Source organism: Homo sapiens, chromosome X (assembly GCF_000001405.40).
Source record: "Homo sapiens chromosome X, GRCh38.p14 Primary Assembly".
NCBI classification, from domain to species: Eukaryota; Metazoa; Chordata; class Mammalia; order Primates; family Hominidae; genus Homo; species Homo sapiens.
The window spans coordinates 50458386-50478263 of record NC_000023.11 but is presented as its reverse complement, the minus strand read 5'-3'; the positions used below and the strand labels follow the sequence as shown (position 1 = coordinate 50478263).

Genomic DNA, 19878 nt, shown 5'->3' with positions numbered 1-19878 from the left:
CATGATCTGAATCCCGCCTATCTTATTTCATTTCATGGGACTCTCCCCCTTGATCTCTAGGCTCCAGTCACTCTGGCCTGCTTTTTCTCCCTCAAACACAAGCCTGTCTCCATCTCCAGGAATTTGTACTTGCCATTCCCTCTGCCTGGAATCCCTTTCCCCAGATATTTTCACAGCTGCCTCCTCCTGTTGACAAGACTCAACTGAAAGTTGCCTCTTCAGAGAAGCCTTTCATGACAATCCAATCTGAAACAATCAGGCAAACCCAAATTGAAACTGAAATCCAGTCTAAAGACAACTGCTCTGTACTCTTCAAAAGTGTCAATGTCATGAAAGACAAATGAAAGCTGGGAGTAATCTAGATTAAAGAAGACTAAAGACACAGAACTAAATGCAATCTATGATTTGACCCTATATTTACAAAAAAAAAAAAGCTATACAGAGCATTATTTGGACAATTTGAGAAATTCAAATATGCATTGTATTCTAGATAATATTAATGTATCATTGTTAAATTTCATAAGTGTGATCATTGTATTGTGTATGAAGGAGAATGTCCTTGCTGTTTATGAGATACATGCTGAAATACTTATGTGTGACATGTCATGATGTCTGCAACAAACGTTCAAGTGGCTCAGCCAAAAATAAAGAGGTAGATATGCAGATAAATAGATGGAGTTATAGATATTAAGTAAATGTGATAAAGTGTTAGCAATCAGTAAAGAATATGTAAGTGATCACTGTATTATTCTTGCAACTTTTCTGTAGGATTGAAAAGTTTTCAAATCAGAAGTTGGTGGAAAAAAAATCTTGAAGTTTATTTAGTAGGTTTGTTGTTGGTAGTAGCATTGGTGAAGTAATTCCAAACTATTTTGGATGTGCTATAGGATTAAGCAAATGAGTAAATAAATTGACTGACCAAAGTAGCCCTCCAGGCACTTTCTATCACATCATCAGTTTTTGTTTTCTTTATTGCACTTATTTTCTGAAACAACGTCTTCATGTATGTATGTCTGTATTTCCCCAGCCCTTAGCCAATAAATGCTATTTGAGCACGGATGATGTCTGTCTTGTTTTTTGGTGAATCCTCAGCATTCAAATGAGTGCCAAGCATGTAGTAGATGTTCAATAATTATTTGTGGAATTGATGACTGAATAATGCAATCCCTAGAAACCCTGGGTGTCAGGCTGCTGCAGTTTTGCCCCAGGGCCACGTTAAGGTTCTGAGACCCAGTTGGGAAAGGGCCTTGTTATTGCAGAGACCAGTGAAGCTGAGAAAGAGAAAGGGGGAAACTGAGCCTAGTTCTGTCATATGAAGTGTGGTTAAAGGGAATAGGCCCTTCCAGAAATGGCCATGCCTAAAGGTCATAACTAGAGCATGGGGACTTAAAACCAAAAGGTGAATGATAGAAGGGAGGTCCTGGAAATGACTGTTGAATGCTTTAATCTCCATCTAAGACAACTGAGTTCTGTGACGCCTTGTCCTTGCAAGTCACTTCAATTGTGTAAAGCCTCTCCCCTGAGATTCCTTCTTATGACAGAACTGATTAATTCTGCATTTTGAGCTAACTCTCAGTAAGGGAGAACTACAAGAAAGAGAAAAAGGGACAGCTGGAAAGGCTGCTGGCAGTTCTTTGGAGGAAAAGAAAGCCACCTTCTTCCCCAACCTTTTTCATCACAGCAGTTCTGCCTATCAACACCTCTTTTTCTTAAATTCCTTTCTCTATTCGTTCCTCCCTCCTATATCCATCACTTTCCCTCTTAAAGTCAGTCATAAAGCGTTTGTAGAGGGTGGTGAGGTAACAAAGTAATTTTGTGCGAGACAATTCTTACTAACATTATCTTTTTTCCTTTTTGGATAAAGACACACACACATACACATATTCAAATACTGAGATTGAGTATTACAAATGTCTGCCTGCCTCCATTACTGACACCACACCAGGAGGGTTCTAATAATCTTTTTCACTCCTTCTAAACACCATCACCTAAGGGACACTATCAGCTCTATACTCCCTCCCTCAGATCCCCCCACACACACCTGTGATCTGCCACACCAAAATTTCCACCACTTTTTTCTCTATGCCATTAGAGCAATCTGTTTTCTCTTATTAATACAAGCTGGGTTTAGATCCTTGGCAGGTTAGACTGGATGGCTGTTTCTCATCAGCTTTCCCCCATGTCTAAGCCACAGTGAGTTAAAGATTCTGCAAAGATTCATTTTTTTTCTTATCTTTCTTCAAACTGTTTTCAGTCTCTGAATCTGCTTTGAGGTCCACAACCATCCCACTCCTGCTTACCTACAAAGACCTTTCTCTCATCCCCTGGTCATTCATCATCAGTTAGAATTTTAAATTAGAAATCCCATTAGCATGTTGAGTCCATGGAAGCCAAATGACCCATTATGGACTAAATCCAAATGTATAGGCAGGTGGTTAAGCCAGTTGGGCCAGCAGCCTTGGCAATGCAGACCCAAAGCTAGAGGTTGCAGCAAAAATAAAGAAAGAATCATGATTTTACAAATTACCTCAAATCAACTGGATATCAGCTCTAGGGAAACAAAGCAGATTTGTAGATGCTTCCAGAACCAAATACACAGTCAAGGACAATTTTTCCTCACTGGTTAGTTTTACCATGTACACCTATATTCAAACAGCCTTCATTGCTCCCATTACCTTTAAAACCAAATCTTCCAACTCTTCAATCTGATGTTGAAAACCTTTTACATCCCGCTTTCTCCCTACCACTTGCTTCACTCTAATCTCATCTCTCATCAGTCGTTGGTATGTTCCCTCTATCTCAACCAGCCTGGCTCATTCTCACCTCCAGATTTCTATCTTTGCTTCTCTCCTTGTCTGCAATGCCTTTCCACTTCCCCTTTGCTGATCTATGTTAATTGCATCATTCAAGATCCATTTCAAGATCTGTCCCCTTACAAAAAGCTGTCCGTGATTCACTCACAGGATTGCTGATATTTCGTGCTAAAACAGACTTTAGAGCTAGATGATCAAGCTCAACTTTATTCCCACCTCCATTTTTCATACGAGAAAACTTAAGGCCCAAAGACATTAAATGATCTGTATAAGGTCATGTTGAGAGTTTAGTGGTAGAACCTTAATATGAAGCCAGATTTCCTGACTCCCCTTGCAATTTCCTTTCCGCTCTGTCACACTTAGTCCCCACCCACCCCCAGCCCCCCAGAAAAGTACAAAGTGTGGTGTCATGATCATAAACTGGCATCTGTGTTTGGATTGCTTTTCACCTGTATTTGGCTTATCTTGACCACCAAGCTCTAATAATTCTTGTGGGAAGGATCACGTCTAATATTTCTGCCCTTTCTCCTTCCCCAGGACACCTAATAGGGCTGTATACACCACAGACTGGCAGTAAATACCGCTTAACTGTGGAGTGCTTCACTTCAAGAAAACATAAAAACAGAACCAATAAAATGAGTATACCCTGGTTGAATTATTATATTACATACATATTCAAAAATGTTCCTCTAAACAGGGACCTCCTATAGTGAGCTTGGTTGCAGATCATTAACTGCTGTCCAGAAAGAGTGAGAGCTGAGAAACCTCTGCTCCTTTGACAAGCTCAAGAAAGAAAAAGGCATTAAGGCAGCCTTCCCACTCTGCTATGAAGAGGATTTACACAGACCCTGTCTCACAGCCCCCAGCTCACAGCCCTCAGTATTGTGCTCTGGTCTCCCTCAGCTGGAAATTGAGTGACACAAGTTCTAAATGTCTGTTCCACCACTAATTATCTCTGTGACCTAAGACATGGCACTTAGTCTCACTGGACTTGTGTTTTCTCATCTGTTAAAGGGTAGGGGACAGGGGTATGTGATGGAAGTCCGAATTTGCTTGCCTCACACATTTGTTGTGAGGCTGAAGTGAGATAATATATGTGAAAGTACTTTAGAAATAAAAAGGCATTATACAAATGCAAGGTATTAACTTTTTAACTCTCCAATCCTATATCAATTAATCCTAGGAGACTAGAGTGAGTAAAGGTTAACAGGTTTGCATTTTAATCCCAGCTAAATTAATAGTCTGAATCCTCTACCTTCTCCATACATGCTGCCTGTTCTTCATCCCATCTCCTTATTTTATTTAGTAGATTATTATAAAGGTTGCTATTTTGGCTTGGCACATCCCGAGGTAGTACAGTAGGGGAGGTTGGCAGCTGCTAAGACTCGGGAGAGACACTGATTTCTTCCCAAATTGCTCTAAAAGGGAGGACTTAGGGAATTTAAAGCTACTGATCAAGGGGGGAAGGGCTTCCACTCTAGCAATACAGTGCCACTCTCTCATTCAATAATGAAAATGAAATGAAAACAGGAAGGGAGAAGAGATTTAATTTTGTCACATTTCTCAGCTTTTCTCTCCTTTGCCTCTCCAGAACTCTGAGCACGGCTGAAATTGAAGGAGCTCCATGCTGGCTTGGATAAGCTTTATTCTGGGTAGAATCAGAGTAAATGCTGGCAGTTGGGTAAGGTAGTGCATTGCATATTCAAAAGATATGAGCCTATTGTACTGATCGATCCTTCATCCAGCCCAATCAGGTAACTTATATAACATGCCCAAAAGTCCCAGGCTAAGGACCATTTCTGCCCTGGGACATCCAGAACTATGTTCATCCAAGCCTCTGTGGATACGGTCATCATTCCAGATATGTCTGGTTAAAGAAATTCTTATGTACCTCTTTGCCTTTTTAAAAATCTGTATTGTTTAATTAAAAGAGAGCCTCTTAGGAGATCATTAATCATTTGAAATATCAAATAGTGCTGAAAAGCAAGGCAGAAAAATACATCCTAACCAGTAACCTACAATGAATCATCCACTTAACAGACATTTCCTGAATCCTGACTATGACCTCAAGTCCTGGGTTAGGTTGTGAGGAAAATACAGAAGCATCTAAGTAAAACTTTATTAAGAAACCAGCAGGTTATGGGAAAGAGGAAGGTGTAGCTTAGTTACAGCAAAGGTGCCTCCCCAAATCAGGTACCAATCAACCATTCTGGCCATCCCTCTACTCTGCCTCCAATGTAAAGCATGGTATTCAATGCTGGGCTAAGGAACCCCCGACACACACACACAAAGAACCCTTACTATGATATGAGGCAATAAGGTAGCTAATGATGGGCTGAAAAATAATTTTTTAAAACCTTCAAAACTAATCATAATGCAGTTCAGGCAGTATATCTCCAGTAACCTACCCTAATGGAGCAAAAGCCATGTACAAGCAACTATTTTAGCATTCAATCTCAAAATGACCTTGTAGCAAGAGTCTACATCATAAATGTTGGCCTCATTATAATTGAGTGTAGAATTATAGACAAGAGTTTCAATAAACATACATAAAGCAGTAACTCCAAGTTGTCCCCTGGTGGTATCTCGCTTGACAATACACTGTCTATGCCAAACCCCAAGAGGCCATCTGTAACCCAAGAGGCCATCTTACTCTGTGACTGCTCAGCCTTCAGCCCTTCTAACTACATGTTGGGTTTAGTAAAAAGCAAAATTTAAATGTGGGATATCTGCCCCTTCTAAGGACAGGGATTCCATTAAGGTGTGAGAGCCAGAAAAGTGATCTCCAGTCCTGGACTTGCTGGTTGGTCAGATCTGGCACTTTAATGCACCAGATCCAATAATGAGATCTGGCACCTGTATATTTCAGTCCTGAACTCTTAGGGTTAAAGGCGGCTTGGCTACTTGAGTGTGGGATAGGGGAAAGGAGAACAAGCCCAAGGAGGGTGAAGAGAGTGGGCTCCTAAGGTGAATTTACTGGAAGGAGGACTGCCACGTGAGGGAATTGATAGGGCTCACTTCTCCTGGTCTTCCCATCCCCAGAGTTTAAGGACGGTCCCTGCACTAGCTTAGTAGCTGCCAAGCAGTGTTAACACATCTCTGGAAAGGTGGGCTTAGGCTGTGAGGCTGCAGCGAGGATCTGGGAAATGCAGACCTCACCAGAGATTCTGGTCTTTGGAGGGATTTAGGTGAAACTGTGCTCTTATGGTATTATTTATTGCTGAGACATAGTATAGGCAACAGAAAGATGTTGCAGATTCTAGAAAATTCTGGCTAGGTCAGTGTCCGTTGGCAAAAGAAGAGGGAATAGTGGGGGATATGGTCTGGGAGTAGATGGCTAGAGAAGGGGCTGCAGAAAGAAGGCTGCTACCCACAACTGCAGCATTATGTGTATGGGAGATAAATTCACTTGTCATATTTCAAATCAGGTTTACAGGTATTTCTCCCCCGTCCGCTCCCCCCACCCAGCTGTGGCTTAACAGGTAGTCTTCTCAAATTTTAATTACAATTGGTAATATATTGGCGTCTAAAGTCTAGGTCTGACTAAGATGATGGTTTGTGTGTATGTGTACGTGACTATAACAGAAAGAGCTTCTAAAGTCTTCCGATGTGGTGGGAAAGGTGCTGCGCTAGGCATCAGTCGTTCTCTTCCCAAGAGAATCTCCCATCTCTAATGTCAGACTGCTTCAGGAGGTGAAAAGGGTGTGGGTGTTGCAGTGAATTTCCCCAGCCCAAGACACACACACACACACACACAGACACACACACACACGCGCGCGCGCGCGCGCGTTAACAAGTTTGGGGGGGGCGGAAAAACAAACTCCTGCTGATGGCTGGGAAATCCAGCTAAAAGCACAAGGCAGGCTCCTATAGCATAGGCGAGCCAGACAGACGCCCAGATAGCCTCAGCTCCCGAGCGCGAAGCCCAGCTGCTGCCGGGGCACTCTCGACTTGCTCTCGGGGAGGCTGCAGGCTGCGGAAAGCCGGGGCGCCAGCCTCCCTCATCACACTCCTTTCCCGAATCACCTCAAACTCTGTACCCAACGGCAAAGCTCAGAAATGCAAAAAACCGAAGAGGGTCAAATTGTACTTCAATCCAAAGGAGGCTGAACACCCGCCCCCCCCGCACCCCCCCCCCCCACCACACACACACCATGCCGCTTAATTTCTTTTCCCGGCTTAGATAAAAAGCATTACTTGCCCATCGAGGCTTGGAGATGGGGGGCAAGAGGTTGGTCCGAGGCTAAGCTCACCTGCTGCTGAGGTGAGAGAGCAGACACAGGATGGAAGCTATTCTGACCAGCAGCTAAGTGGTTGGGGGATTGCAAAGACCCTCAACTTCGCCTCTGGCTTTTTTTTTTCATTCGTGTCACTAAAGGGTTAAACACGGCAAGGCTCCAGCCCGCCCCCCAACCTCCACGCCGCTCCACTCCCCCTCCCCTTTTTGTCTCTCCCCTCCCCTCCCGCGCGTCGCTAGGAGGTCATCAAGCGCTCTGCCCAGTCCGCGTTCGCAAGCCCCTCTGCTTCCCGCCCATCGGACCCGTGGCTGCTTACGAAGAGGTGTGCGCACACTGAGGGGCGTGTTCCAGCATAGGGAGACGCTGAGCGCCCACGGGTTAGACCTCAGAGCCAAGCCAGCCATGGAGTGGGATGGGGGAAAGTTTGGCACCCTGCGAGGGGCTGCCGGACTGGAGTGGGCGGGGCGCCCGAGGGTACTTTAGCCTTCCAGGCTTAGGGACTCAGGCTGCCCAGACCTGAAGCGGTGTGCGGCCATGGACCGCGGAGCTGCCGCAGCCCAGGGCACTGCCCCGCCTCAGGATGGAGAGCAGCCCGCTGAGTCTCCAGAGCCTCCGCCGCCTTGGCCGCCGCCGCCACCACCACCGGCTCCGCCGCCGGCTCCGCCGCTGCTCTCCGAGGCTTCGCCAGAACCCATACCAGAGCCCTGTCCAGAGCTTGCTCCAGGTCCCTGTCCAGAGGCGACCTCAGAATCAGCCACAGAACTGTACACAGAACCGACCCCAGAACCAGCCACAGAGCCGGCCTCAGAACCGGCCCCAGAACCTGCCACAGAGCCGGCCCCAGAACCTGCCACAGAGCCGGCCCCAGAACCGGCCCCAGAACCTGCCACAGAGTCTGCCCCAGAGCCGACTCCAGAACCTGCCCTAGAGTCGGTCCCAGAGCCGGCCCCAGAGCTGACTCCAGAAGTTGCCCCAGAGCTGGCCCCAGAGCCGACCCCAGAACCTGTGACAGAGCTGGCCCCAGAGTTCTGCCCTGAGGCGGCTCCAGAGTTCCGTCCAAGTCCAGCACCATGTCTATTGCAATGTCCGGTGGACACTCGAGAGAGAGGTCTAAAGACCTCGCCATCGCCATCGCCATCGCCATCGCCCAGAACGCCAATGTCGTGGTCCAGAATAAAGGTAAGCAAAAGACCCCCTGAAGCGGGGAAAAGAAGCAAGGCGAAGTCAGATGGCTATGGAGCCCGCGGGACTCCGGGTACCCCTTGCATCCCGCTTGTCTGGCACTGGCTGGCCAAGATGCTGAGAAAGATGCAGGGATGGGGAACCCGGGGGAATGGGAAGGGGTTGGGAGGCGGGAAGCAACATGTGGGAATCGAGAATGGGCTGTTTGGGGCTAGAAACGGGGGTGACAGCAGGGGGTGGGAATCGGAGCAGTTTTCCCCTTGAAGAGAAGCGACAGTGCGGTGAGCGCCAATATCTTGAAAGAGAGGAGGAAGATACCCTCGGGGAGCGCAAGAGACCTGGAGAAGTGTTTGGGGCTGGCCCCGAATACATAGCGGACGGATTGAGTGGGGGCGGTGGGACACACCTCTTAGCCGCGGTCACTGCCGCAGAGGCCCAAGCTGCGGAGCCTTCGCCTGCTTGGCCCCCTCCCTGCCACTGGGGAGGGGGCGCCTCAGCTGGGCGCAACTGGCGGCCCTCCAGGGAGGTGCCCGGCGCCTCTGCCGGCTGCTTCGAGCTGGTACTCCTGGTGAGGACGAGGGGATGGGCGGCGCCCACGCGCACTGCAGGGGAAGGGCAGGGTTCTCCGGGAGGAGGGGGAGAGCATGCGTGTGTCGAAGCCACCATTCCATCTGTCTGCAGGATTTCCCAGCAGGTAGGTGCAAACGCAGTGATACAATGTTGCGCAGCGTCACAAACGGGGCAACTGGCATCCCGCACCAGGGCCAATTGGAATGGTACAGGAGTCCTGGTTTAGAGACACGAAAATAGGAGTTGGGATTGCAGAACGTGTGAAGGGGAACCTTCATCTCTACCAGTCTACCGCGACGCCTTCTAAATCGTTACACTTAGCCGGGAAAAGATGAGTGGAGAATCTTCTGGCACTCGCCCAAGGGGAGTAGGGAGGAAAAAGGTTTTCGTGTTTACCTTGGACCCTGAAACCCCGTCTGCTCTTAAGCGGGAGTATGCCTGTCTTTCCTGCTTTCTCTGCACTCTCCCTACTCTTCCTTTACCCTAAACTTCGTTCCACAAAACTGAAAACCAGGATAATGCACACACACACCTCAATTTAGCTTCCCCTGCAGGAAGACATACACACGCGCGCGCATTCACACACACACACACACACACACAAACGAATAACACAACACACGAACAATACCGGTCCATCCTGCTGCCTAGCAGACCATAAGGACACGGCTCAGGAACCCTTCTGCTGTGGACCGCACACTTATAGAATGTAGAATGCGGGAGGGGAGGGGGCAGATTGGCATCACGAAATGGAAGCATTGGTTGCTTCCTGAGTTCTTAGTAGGGAGGCTTGAGTTTGCAAAATATCTGCAATGACGAATAACTGAAAAAGAAGGCTAAAATGAAAAGTTTCACAGAGAAAAGAAAGTGCAGAGGTTTAAAAATAAATAAAACATGACGGTGGGAGACTCTGATAAGTTTTTAAAAATTCAACACCCTAGCTCTCACCAGGGGATGTATCCCTCCCCTTCCTGAAAATACCCTTTCCTGCAGTGATCTTAAGAAGGGCAAAGTTGGGGTGGCTAGATTTGGGAGCTCACCCTCACCGGGTGATTGATCTTGTCTTTTTGGAAGAGTTTGCATTAAGCTGGTGGGAAAGAGACAAGCAGGAATCACCTGACCTGTGGCCATCTTAAGCGAAATTTTGGGAACATGGCTGTGAAACTGACACGTGGGGACGTAATACCCAGAGAATGCATCTCCCCTTTGGCCTCTGAAAGGCTGACTGGCGACCAGGACCCTTCCCCCAGTGAAAAGCATCCCCTGCTCCCATGCGAAAGCATCTCCTACCTGTTTGACAGGAAAATGTCATTGCCAGACAGATGAGGAAGATTAAGGTAAGGGGAATCAGATTAGTTTCCTCTACGTAGTGCCCACTCAGACGTGCTGGCTAGCTGACCCACAGACATCTGGCAACACTGGCAGGAGACCAGGATCCCAGGGGTTTGACTTTGCCCTTAGTAGAGCCAGACATTTGTTGAATCACTTATCTGTAGAATGGGGTTAAGAACCACGACCATCCGTTAAGAAGGCCATGCAGATTAACTAATCAGTGGCTCTGGAGAATTTTGAAGGATGTAAAGGATCTAGGTACGTGCTCAAATTAAATTGCTTGGAGCCAAACCCTTTTACAACACCCTCAATGTTGCTATGCAATTGCTCTCTGGTGCAGCTGGGAACATCTGATCTTCAGTGATAGGATCATTCTCTCCTGCATCTTCCTCAGACAAATGGCACCTGCAACCAGCTGGCTTGTATCTTAACATTCAAGGCAAACAGGTTGTCATCTTAGCTGGGGTGATGTTGTTTTCAAACACTGCCTCCTCGAGGCAAGCTTGGGGGGAAAAAACTGTGCAACACGCACAGGCGTGCACACACCCCTAACACACACACATACTATACATATGTGCCCAAAATGTCAGGGAACAAAACAAAATACAGGTCTCATCATGCAATGAAATCCTCCATAGCAAGCATGAAACTATCCTGATAATTCAAAGGATGAAATGAGCAAAACCAAGTGTTTGAATATGACTGCAAGTTTCTCCCAGATAATTTTGTTGACTGGTATTGTAGCAAAAAACCAACATCTTTCAGCCTTGTAGTCTGCTCTTTTTTGGAATTTCAGGAAAGTTTCAGAACCTGCAATTGACTGAGAAAAGGGGGCTCATGTTTTCTTTTCAAATAGCTACCAGGATAACACAGTCAGTCTGTGAACCAAACATGTCTATTTCTTTCCTTTCTAAAATGTTTCAATTCCCAGGAAATGAGCCATGGTCTCCCACCTGGTGGCAGCAAGTGTAAGTAAGGATGTGTGAATTGGTTCTTTAGCAATGCTATAACTCTCTTGGGGGAGGGATGGGGCTTATATGAAGTAGACCATGTTTCTTTCTCTCTCATCAGCTGTGCTTGAAGAAAGACAAAATTTTGTTTATTCATTGGGTTTTGACCAGCTATGAAATGAAAATCACATCATACAAATGATTGATGAAAATCTGAGGGGAGATACACTTTCATGGCTTTTGGGGGAGATAAAAGGGGTCTGTGTATCCCTCCTGATGACTGCACAGTAATAACCATTATCCTCAAACCATATCAGGACAGCTTTTATGCACAAAACTGATATTTTTGTACATTTTCTTGCAAAATAGCAAGCATTTGTTTATATGATATCTGGTGATTCCTATCAATATTTTATTAGTGATTTCTGAGCTTCTCAAAAATAGGGGTGGCCTTTCTCAGTGCCTAGTTCAATGCAGCCCTCCTTGATTTTGCTTAATAAACACTTGCTGAAGCTTGAAAACTATCCATTTCCAGCAATGTAGAGGCTGCTGCTGTGAATGAATAAAAATTTGTTCTCATTGGTTTCAGAGTGAGAAGTAAATACTTATTTAAATGGCATGGAATATATAGCCCTTAAGGAAATACAGTCAATCTTTCCATTTTCAGAGTGGTTATTGGAACTATAATTAAGAAGCAAATTACTAACAATTTTTATTAATGGCTTGGAAAGTGTCCTTATCCCATGCAGTCCCAGCAGCAGCAGACTAATAATGATATTGTTAGCTTCAGGGGATAATAAATTTTTTTCCTAAGTGAACAGAGTATCTGCAGTGACTGTAAACAGATTTGGGATTATAGATTCAGATGTTTAACCTGTTGAAGGTCAGAATGAAATTACTTTCTTTTCTCTTCAGTTTTTCCCCCCTCCTTGCCAAGCTTTGATGATACCATCTGATTTATTTGGTGTATTCTAATAGTTCCTAAGCAGTCACTACAGGGTGTTCTAGAAAAGATAATGAAGTATTGGTCAGTGGTCTTTAGTTTCTCAGAGTACAATTCTTATGCACTTATTAAAATCTCCGACTAGGGCTTCTGCAGATCTGCAGCCCAAAGGGAAAGTGCCTCCAAGGAAAGGCAAAAAAAAAAAAAAAAAAAAAAAAGAAAAAAGAAAAAGAAAAAAATATCCATAGAAACCAGGAAACCATTCAGGGGTATTCTAATAAGGATTATATAGTTCCTTCTGCTCCTGTGGCACTTTACAGTTTACAGAGTGCTTGCCTCTGCATTATTAACCCTTTTATTTCCTTGAACAAGGCAGCAGGTGGGGGAGGGCAAAAATAAAACTTGACAGCTTATAGGATGTAATGATTGAATTTTCTATTGTAGATTTTTTTAAAAATCTGACATATGGCCTTTTGTGATACATAGGATCCTCATTTGTCTAAGAACAGTCTTTTAGCTGACATTTCATCAGCTCTGAATTTTTTTCCAAAGCGGTGGTTGCTGCTCCACTTCTGATGCTCCCAGAGGGGGCCAGCATAGAAGAGGAGCCAGAGAAGAAACGAGAAGAGGCAGAGACCCTGAACCGATTACTCACAAAGACCTTTTTTGTTGGTGCGTGTGTGTTTTGTAAAGGAAATAAATTGAAATCCTGCTAAGGATAGGGTGCCCGACCTTTCCAAAGCCCACCCACTGTAATTCTTTCAGTGGAAAAAAAATAATTTTAAAGGAAAAAAAAAAAAGCAAGCAAGCAGCCATTCTAAAGGGAGATGCCCCACCCTCACCAAAGCAAATAGAGCTCATTCTCAAAATAATAAAAACAAATTTATGAATTTTAAAAACGAAAAGAAAGGGACAGTGACCCCAGATAATGAAATTTATCTCTCCTCTGAAAATTATTTTAAGAAAAAAAAAGAAACAGCTTCTAAAAGGAAGTTATCCTCACCCTCATCAAAGCCCATGGAACTTATATCCCCCAAAGAAAAATTTTAAGATGAAAAAAGAGAAATCATCTTAAGTTAAACAGTATTTCTAACCTTAAAATATTCATGAAATTTGTAAACTTTATTTGACTTCATGGCTCATGCTTAATCTCTTGAGAAAATTAAGGGGGCAAAAATAAAGGGAAGGTCCCCCAACCTCATCAAAGCTTCCTGACATTATTTTCCCGATTACATAAAATGTGCAGAGGAGGCAAATCCTTAGAGATGGAAAGGAAATGAGGGAAGCAATATGGGAGGTGGAAAAGGGGATGATGGCTAAAGAGTACAGGGTTTCTTTTGAGGGTGATTAAAATGTTCTAAAATCAGAGAATGGTGATGGGTGCACAACACTGTGGATACAATAAAACCCACAAAATTGTGTATGTTAAGATGATGAATTTTATGGTATGTAAATTACATCTCAATTTTTAAAAATAGTTCAAAGAAAGATACCATCCCTCTAACCACAAGATAAGAGACCTATTATTCTCCCAAAAACAAAAAACAAACAAAATTGAAAAAAGGAACTAAAAGAAAGGGAGATCCTCTTAAAGGATCTTCAACCTCGCCAAGGATAATAACCTTTATTTGCCACCCCTTCAATTAAAAAAAAAGAAATTAAGGAAAACAAACAAAAAAAGGAAATCTTTTTAAGGGCAGATATTCTCAAAAATCATAAAAGTTAATGAAATTTACGAATCCTCCCCTCTAGATACACACATTTTAATTAAAAAAAGAAAGAAATATTAAAGGATAGGTCCCTGACTATACCAAATCTCCAGAATTTTTAATTCCAAGAAGCAGGGGCGCGGGGGGTGCGGGAGGGAGGGACAAAAGAAATACCACTCCTCCATGACTAAAGAGCATAAACCTTATTCTTAAAATACAATTTTTTTTAAGATTTAAAATAAAATTAAGAATGGAAGGGTATATGTGTTGGTGAAGAGGATATTACTAATGAAACAAAAACAGAATCCTCTTAAAGAGAAGAAGTACTTCAATGTCACAAAGACCCATTAATTTTCCTGTCAAAACACAACCAAAAAAAAAAAAACCGATTTTTTTAAAAGAAGAAAAAATGAAAGAAAATCCTTCTAATGGGAGTTGACTCAAATTCACTCAAAAACTTTATTCTTTTTATTTTATTTATTTATTTTTAATTAATTTTTAACTGATGCATAATAGATGTACATATTTTCAGGGAACATGTGATAATTTAATATATTTATATAATTTACCAAAAGATTTATTCTTAATATAGAATTTTTGTAATTTGAGAACAAATAGAAAAGATAGGTAGGGGAGAAACACAAAGCCAAGAAAGTCCTCTTAAACAAAAGTATTCTCAGCCTCAACAAAGCCCCTTTTTTTCTCAAAACAAGCAAATACATTTAGAATTATGGGGGGCGGGAAGGGAAGAACATGAACAGTATATTTTAAAGAGAAATATTTTTCTTAAGGAATGAAGATGCCCCCAAACTCACCAAAGTCCTTGAATATTTTTCTGAAAACAAAAAAGAAACAAAGAGAAGGAGAGAGGGAGAAAGAAGGAAGAGAAGGGAGAAGGAGAGAGAGAAACAGAGAGAGGAAGGGAGGGAGGAGGGGAGAAGGAGAGAGGGAGAAAGAAGGAAGAGAAGGGAGAAGGAGGGAGAGAAACAGAGAGAGGAAGAGAGGGAGGAGGGGAGAAGGGAGGGAGGGGGAAAGCCGGACAGGTAGAGAGGAGAGGAAGGTAGGAGCAGGTAGGGAGAGACTGAGATAGGGAGAGGAAAAAAGAGGGAGAGAGACAGAGGAAGGGAGGGAGCCAGAGAGAGAGACAAAGGGAGAGGTGGAGAGGGAAAAAGAAAGAGGGGGAGAGAAGGGAGGAGAGGGAAAAAGAAAGGGGAGACGGAGGAAAGGAGAGGGAGAGAGGAAGGAGGATGGGGGGAGAAATGTGAAGGGAAGGGGAAAAGGACTAGGTAGGATAGAGTGAAGGTGGCAGAGAAGGAGGGGTGGGAAAGAGGAAGAAGAAAATTAACAAAGGGATTATTTTTTAAAGGATCAAAGAAAGAAATTCTCTCCAGGAAAATGCACCAACACCTTACTGCAGACATTGCGTATTATTCCTGATGACTACCCTCTCCATCCCCCACAATAAGGAAAAAAAAACCACACACACACAAAATCTCTTTCTCAAGCTTCTTCAAGGTGGGGAATGTGCGTGTGGGGGGGGTGGTGGGTATGTACCCAATCTCACCCTATCCCAGGGACCTTATGTATCTTTCAGCCTTCACTGTTTCATTAAAAAAAAAAAAAAAAAAAAAAAAAAAAAAAAAAGCAAGGAAAGGAAAAGAAAATCTTTCCAGGAGAGATGTCTCCCATTCTAATTTTTCCCAATAAACTGTTTCTTTTAAAGAAAAGGAAAGAAAGAAAAATCCTACTAGGGAGGGCTCCCCAGCTTCATTAAAACAAGTTGCCCTTGTAGGTCCTCTCCACAAAACCTATTTTTTAATGGAAATCCTCCAGACCTAAAGAGAGATGCTCCCCCACCTCCACCAAAAGCAATGAATCTTTTCCCCTGGAGATTTTTAAAGAAAAAAATCTTCCATTGTAAGAGGAGATACCTTCAACTTTACTAAAATCAATGGACTTTATTCCTCTCCACATCCAAGAGGAGAAAAAAAATATTTGAGGAAAAGGGAAGAAATCCTCCTAATCTAAGGCAAGTTGGCTATAATCCCTCCAACACCATTGAACTTTCTTCCTGAGATTTTTTAAAAGAAAAAGCAAAGACAGAAAAAAAGCCTCAAAAAAAAAAAAAAAAAAAAAGCACTCACTTCTCCCACAGGCTCCACAGATCTGAAGTGTTGTACAAAGAAAAGGTACTATCCCTCTCAAATGGCACCAGTGAACTTTACATTCAGCACTAAGGCTAAAGGATGATACATTTTAATCCCAGGCTGGCTTCCCGCTGCCCCAGTCTATTTCTGGTTACCTTCCCCATCATCCAGGTAGGCAACACTCCCAAGAAAGGCACTGTCCAAAAGAAAAAGAATTAGGAGGCAAACCTTCTGGGGAAAAATCATACCTCTTTTCCAAACCGAACAAATGATTTGGGAATTCGCTGCGTCATTGTTCCCATCTAACACTACAGAGAATTAAGAGTTGATGATAAACTCAAAAGCAGTGACACTCTTGCTATTAACTACCAATTAGTCAGACACCCCTACCTAACAGGGAAGGACCCTTCGCCAACTCAGTAATGGAGGTGATCCATCCTCCATTATGTTTCATTATGTGCTGGCTTTGATGTCTGTTCCTGCAGGGCGATAAAAGGGCTTGATTTTCACAAATCCATAAAATTTGCAAATCATATTTATAAGCAGAGAGACTCAATTAATGTTTTCCAAATTTTAAAATTCATTTATTTCTTTAAAACGTAAACTGATACCTGCTCCCTATGTGCTATGTGTTTAACATTGTGCTAACCACTGAGGATTCTACAGTGAACAAAACCACATGGATGAGACTACCTTTAAGCAAAACTGGTAAATGAGAGACTCAATTACCAAAACAAATATGCAGATGGTGGTTATTTGTTTTACCAGATGCTTTGCCAAGGTATTCACTATTAATAGTCAGTTCTCTCAGCATTCCTCTACTTAAACTAAAATTCAATGTAATAAAATAAAGGAATGCATGCTAATTTCAGAGAATGTGGAAAATCAAGAAAGCTTCTAAAAAGTAAATAAAAATCATCTAGTACCCCACCACTCAGAGATAATCACTGTTAATATTTTGCTATATTTTTCATTTATTTTCTCTGAATATTTGCTTATAGTCTTCTGTAGTAAGACTTTGGGGAATGCACAATTGTGTCTCGGGCTTCACCCTGCCCCAGTCACAGCCCCACACGCTTAATTATTAGATCGTGTTCATTATTCTACCTTGGATTTAGGAAACACTTGTTCATTTTAGCTTAAAGTTCATCTAGTCAAACTCCTGTCTGATCTGATTGTTAAACATATGCTTGAATCACAACCATTCAGGGGCATATTTGCTGTGTGAAGCAGTAAGTATATAGATTTTATGTAGACACAATTGTTGCAGTTGCTCCCATATACAAATGCAGTTTGATCTCACATTTACTTACTGCACTTTTTTGGACACTTAGATTTTATTTGTCCAGTTAGCTTTTGTGACTTGGCCTTGGAGAAGGAGATCCAGAACAAAACCAACCTTATCTTCCCACTGTTAAATTCCCAAAGGGAAAAAATCTAAATTTCTGAGTCACTTTTAACTATATGCCAAAAAAAAAAAAAATTAGTGATGGCTTTGTCTCTTTAACAAGAAGTTACAGCATTATGCTAAACTGGGTATGCCATACCCAGAAGGGAAATAAGAATATATGAGGACATTATCCACAATTATAAGGAAATAGAATATTCAATTCATCCAGCTTTCATTAACCAAGTGTGATCAAAACTTGAGAGAGTTAATAAACTGTATACAACCCAACCAAGGCTGAATCAGTAATTTAAAAGGGAAGTGTAATGCATTATTGAGTAAGATCAGAATCTTCAGCCTGGTCAGTAGCACTTCAGAGATTTTCATCTTCCAAAGCATTATAGGCATTTATTGTTTAAGCCTCTTGCTTTAAAGAGCCTGTAAAGGAAATATTGGCCCCTGAGGACAGGGATTCTTACCCCTTGTTTCCCTCAAGCACGTGTAGGATACTGAGAGATATGCTTAATGCTCCCCACCCACCCACACATCCAGAGCTTTGCAGTGTTCTTCTGAAACAAGAGGCAGTAGTTCTGAGGACTGAGCCTTTTCCCTGCCTCCAAGAGTAGAGGGGAATGAAAGTATGGCTTGTAGGACTAAATCCTGGATGTTCATTCATTTACCTTCTCCTGCAGCAAATGTCTCTACCTTTTCTCTTCTGGGATTTTGCAGCTTGACGCAGGAAATGAAAGGTACCTGCTGAGCAAAAATTGTTAAGCTCCTTGGCTGTCAGTAAAGAGACTTGAAACCCAGAAAGTTTTCATGAACTCTGGGCTCTGTCAGTTGAGCCCTCACTGTCCTGAAGTCAGCTCCAGCATCATGGTGATGTCCTCTGAACCCCAACTCTAAGAGTAGTTTCTCAGTTCCATTTTATAATAAACTTGGTTTTTAATTTTCCCTTGATAAGTGTCACTTGCATTTATTATGTACATTTAACATATTATTTCATGGTTTATTCACATCACTGTGCACTATAGAGGAAAATATGATGTAGCTTTATTAAAACAGCTAAGTGTAAACAATAAAGAGGACAGTAAATGAAGCTGCAGAACAAGATTCTTGATTTCAGAAAATTAGCAAGTTGGTACCCTTCTCACTAACCTCAATTAATGCTTACTGTGACAATTTCCCTCCTGCAGAGCTTGAGTAAAACAACTTTTCTCTTACCCAGAATTCGGATATTACTGTCCCTTTCTTCCCTACCTCACCTCTAGTGCAAACTACTTAACTCTCTTTGACTGTTAAGACTAATTAAAATGATAATTTTGACATTGTTATGATCTCCTCTGCTTGAATTTACTTAACTTGGTGACATTTTTTTTGTTTGTTTTTTTGGATGTGAGAGCTTCACTTTGGTTTCACATGGAATCAAAGTACCCATTAGTGGTTCTCTTCATGGCTTTCTTATTATATTCCTTCGCACTTGTGAGTCCTCTTTCTAGAAATTCCTGAAAAAGCCTTACTTTGCCTTTCCACAATTCCTTACTGGCACTGAACTTTTTGAATTTCTCTGTCTTTTTTTCTAATGATGAAAATGATGAAACACAAAGGTAGACCTTTGAAACAGCTTGAAAGGTTGTTTTTTTGTGTGGGAAGTACTTTGTACTCCGTATAGCAGGGCATTATTGTGACCTACTCACAAAGTATCTGCTTGTCTGTTAAGTGTTCAATAATTAGGTACTTGGTGTTTTAAATGCTTTATAATATGATACATATTTGGAGGATTGTTACATGGGCATTTAACAGTGTTTTACCATATTTGAAGAAATATTGGGACTTTTAGATGTGGTGGGAATGCATTATCGCTTTTCCAACCTAAATAATGGAACAAAGGTTCCTACAATTCAAAATTCATCATCCAACAAGTTTTCAGAGATGGATTAGGTGCAGATATGAGAGACTGCCTGATAGCAAATTCACTTTGATGTAAGAAGTTTAGGGGAAAAAATGAAGAAGTTGTTTGAGGAACGTAGGAACAATATATCCCCCTCAAACCCAGAGAGGAGAGAAAACTGGTATTAAATTAAGCAGTGACAGTGAAAAGTATCAGTAGAAGTGAAGTTATACTTGAATTGGGCAGGTGAGGCCAGGGCCAGGGAATCATAGGGTACTGATTGAAAGATTGTAAAAAATAAAGTAGATGAGGCAAGTCCTATTGAAATTTTAAAGACAACAGATTCCCTGGCAAGTAGACTCAGAAAAATAAATAAATAAACGCAACCGACAAAATTTTGTATATCACCTGATTAATGTTGTGCAATCATTGAAGAGCTGTTGATTAGTATAACATGGCTGAAGTGGAGGGTTGGCTGATGGGGCATATAATTAAAAACTATCCAGCTTTCAATTTATTTGTATGCTAAATTCCAATTTAAACTACAAAAGCTAAAACGGGAGAAAATAAATATATTATCTAGTATCCTTTTCCTGCTGTTTCAGGCCCTCTTTTATCCACATTACATGGTTACAAAAGTCTCATCTGCTTTCTCTATGACATTTTTTCCTATTTCATTTCAGTGTTTTCTATAGTGGAAATAAGAAACCATGATG

The 19878-nt window shown here is 42.4% G+C and overlaps 1 protein-coding gene across 1 annotated transcript in view, besides 1 other annotated feature; it reads left to right on the top strand.

Annotated features, from left to right (window-relative positions):
- DGKK (diacylglycerol kinase kappa) overlaps positions 7439-19878 on the top strand; it is a 105417-nt gene continuing 92977 nt past the window's right edge. The window contains exon 1 of the mRNA NM_001013742.4: positions 7439-8230. Within this exon, the coding sequence (NP_001013764.1) occupies positions 7586-8230 (645 nt within the window). The 5' untranslated portion in view covers positions 7439-7585. The remainder of the gene's footprint in view (positions 8231-19878) is intronic.
- Positions 7479-8276: an enhancer, noted in NCBI's record as "H3K4me1 hESC enhancer chrX:50212987-50213784 (GRCh37/hg19 assembly coordinates)". NCBI's record gives its function as "activates a minimal SCP1, AML or CMV promoter by ChIP-STARR-seq in naive H9 embryonic stem cells {active_cell/tissue: H9 hESC(naive)}" and the evidence as "EXISTENCE:reporter gene assay evidence [ECO:0000049][PMID:30033119]".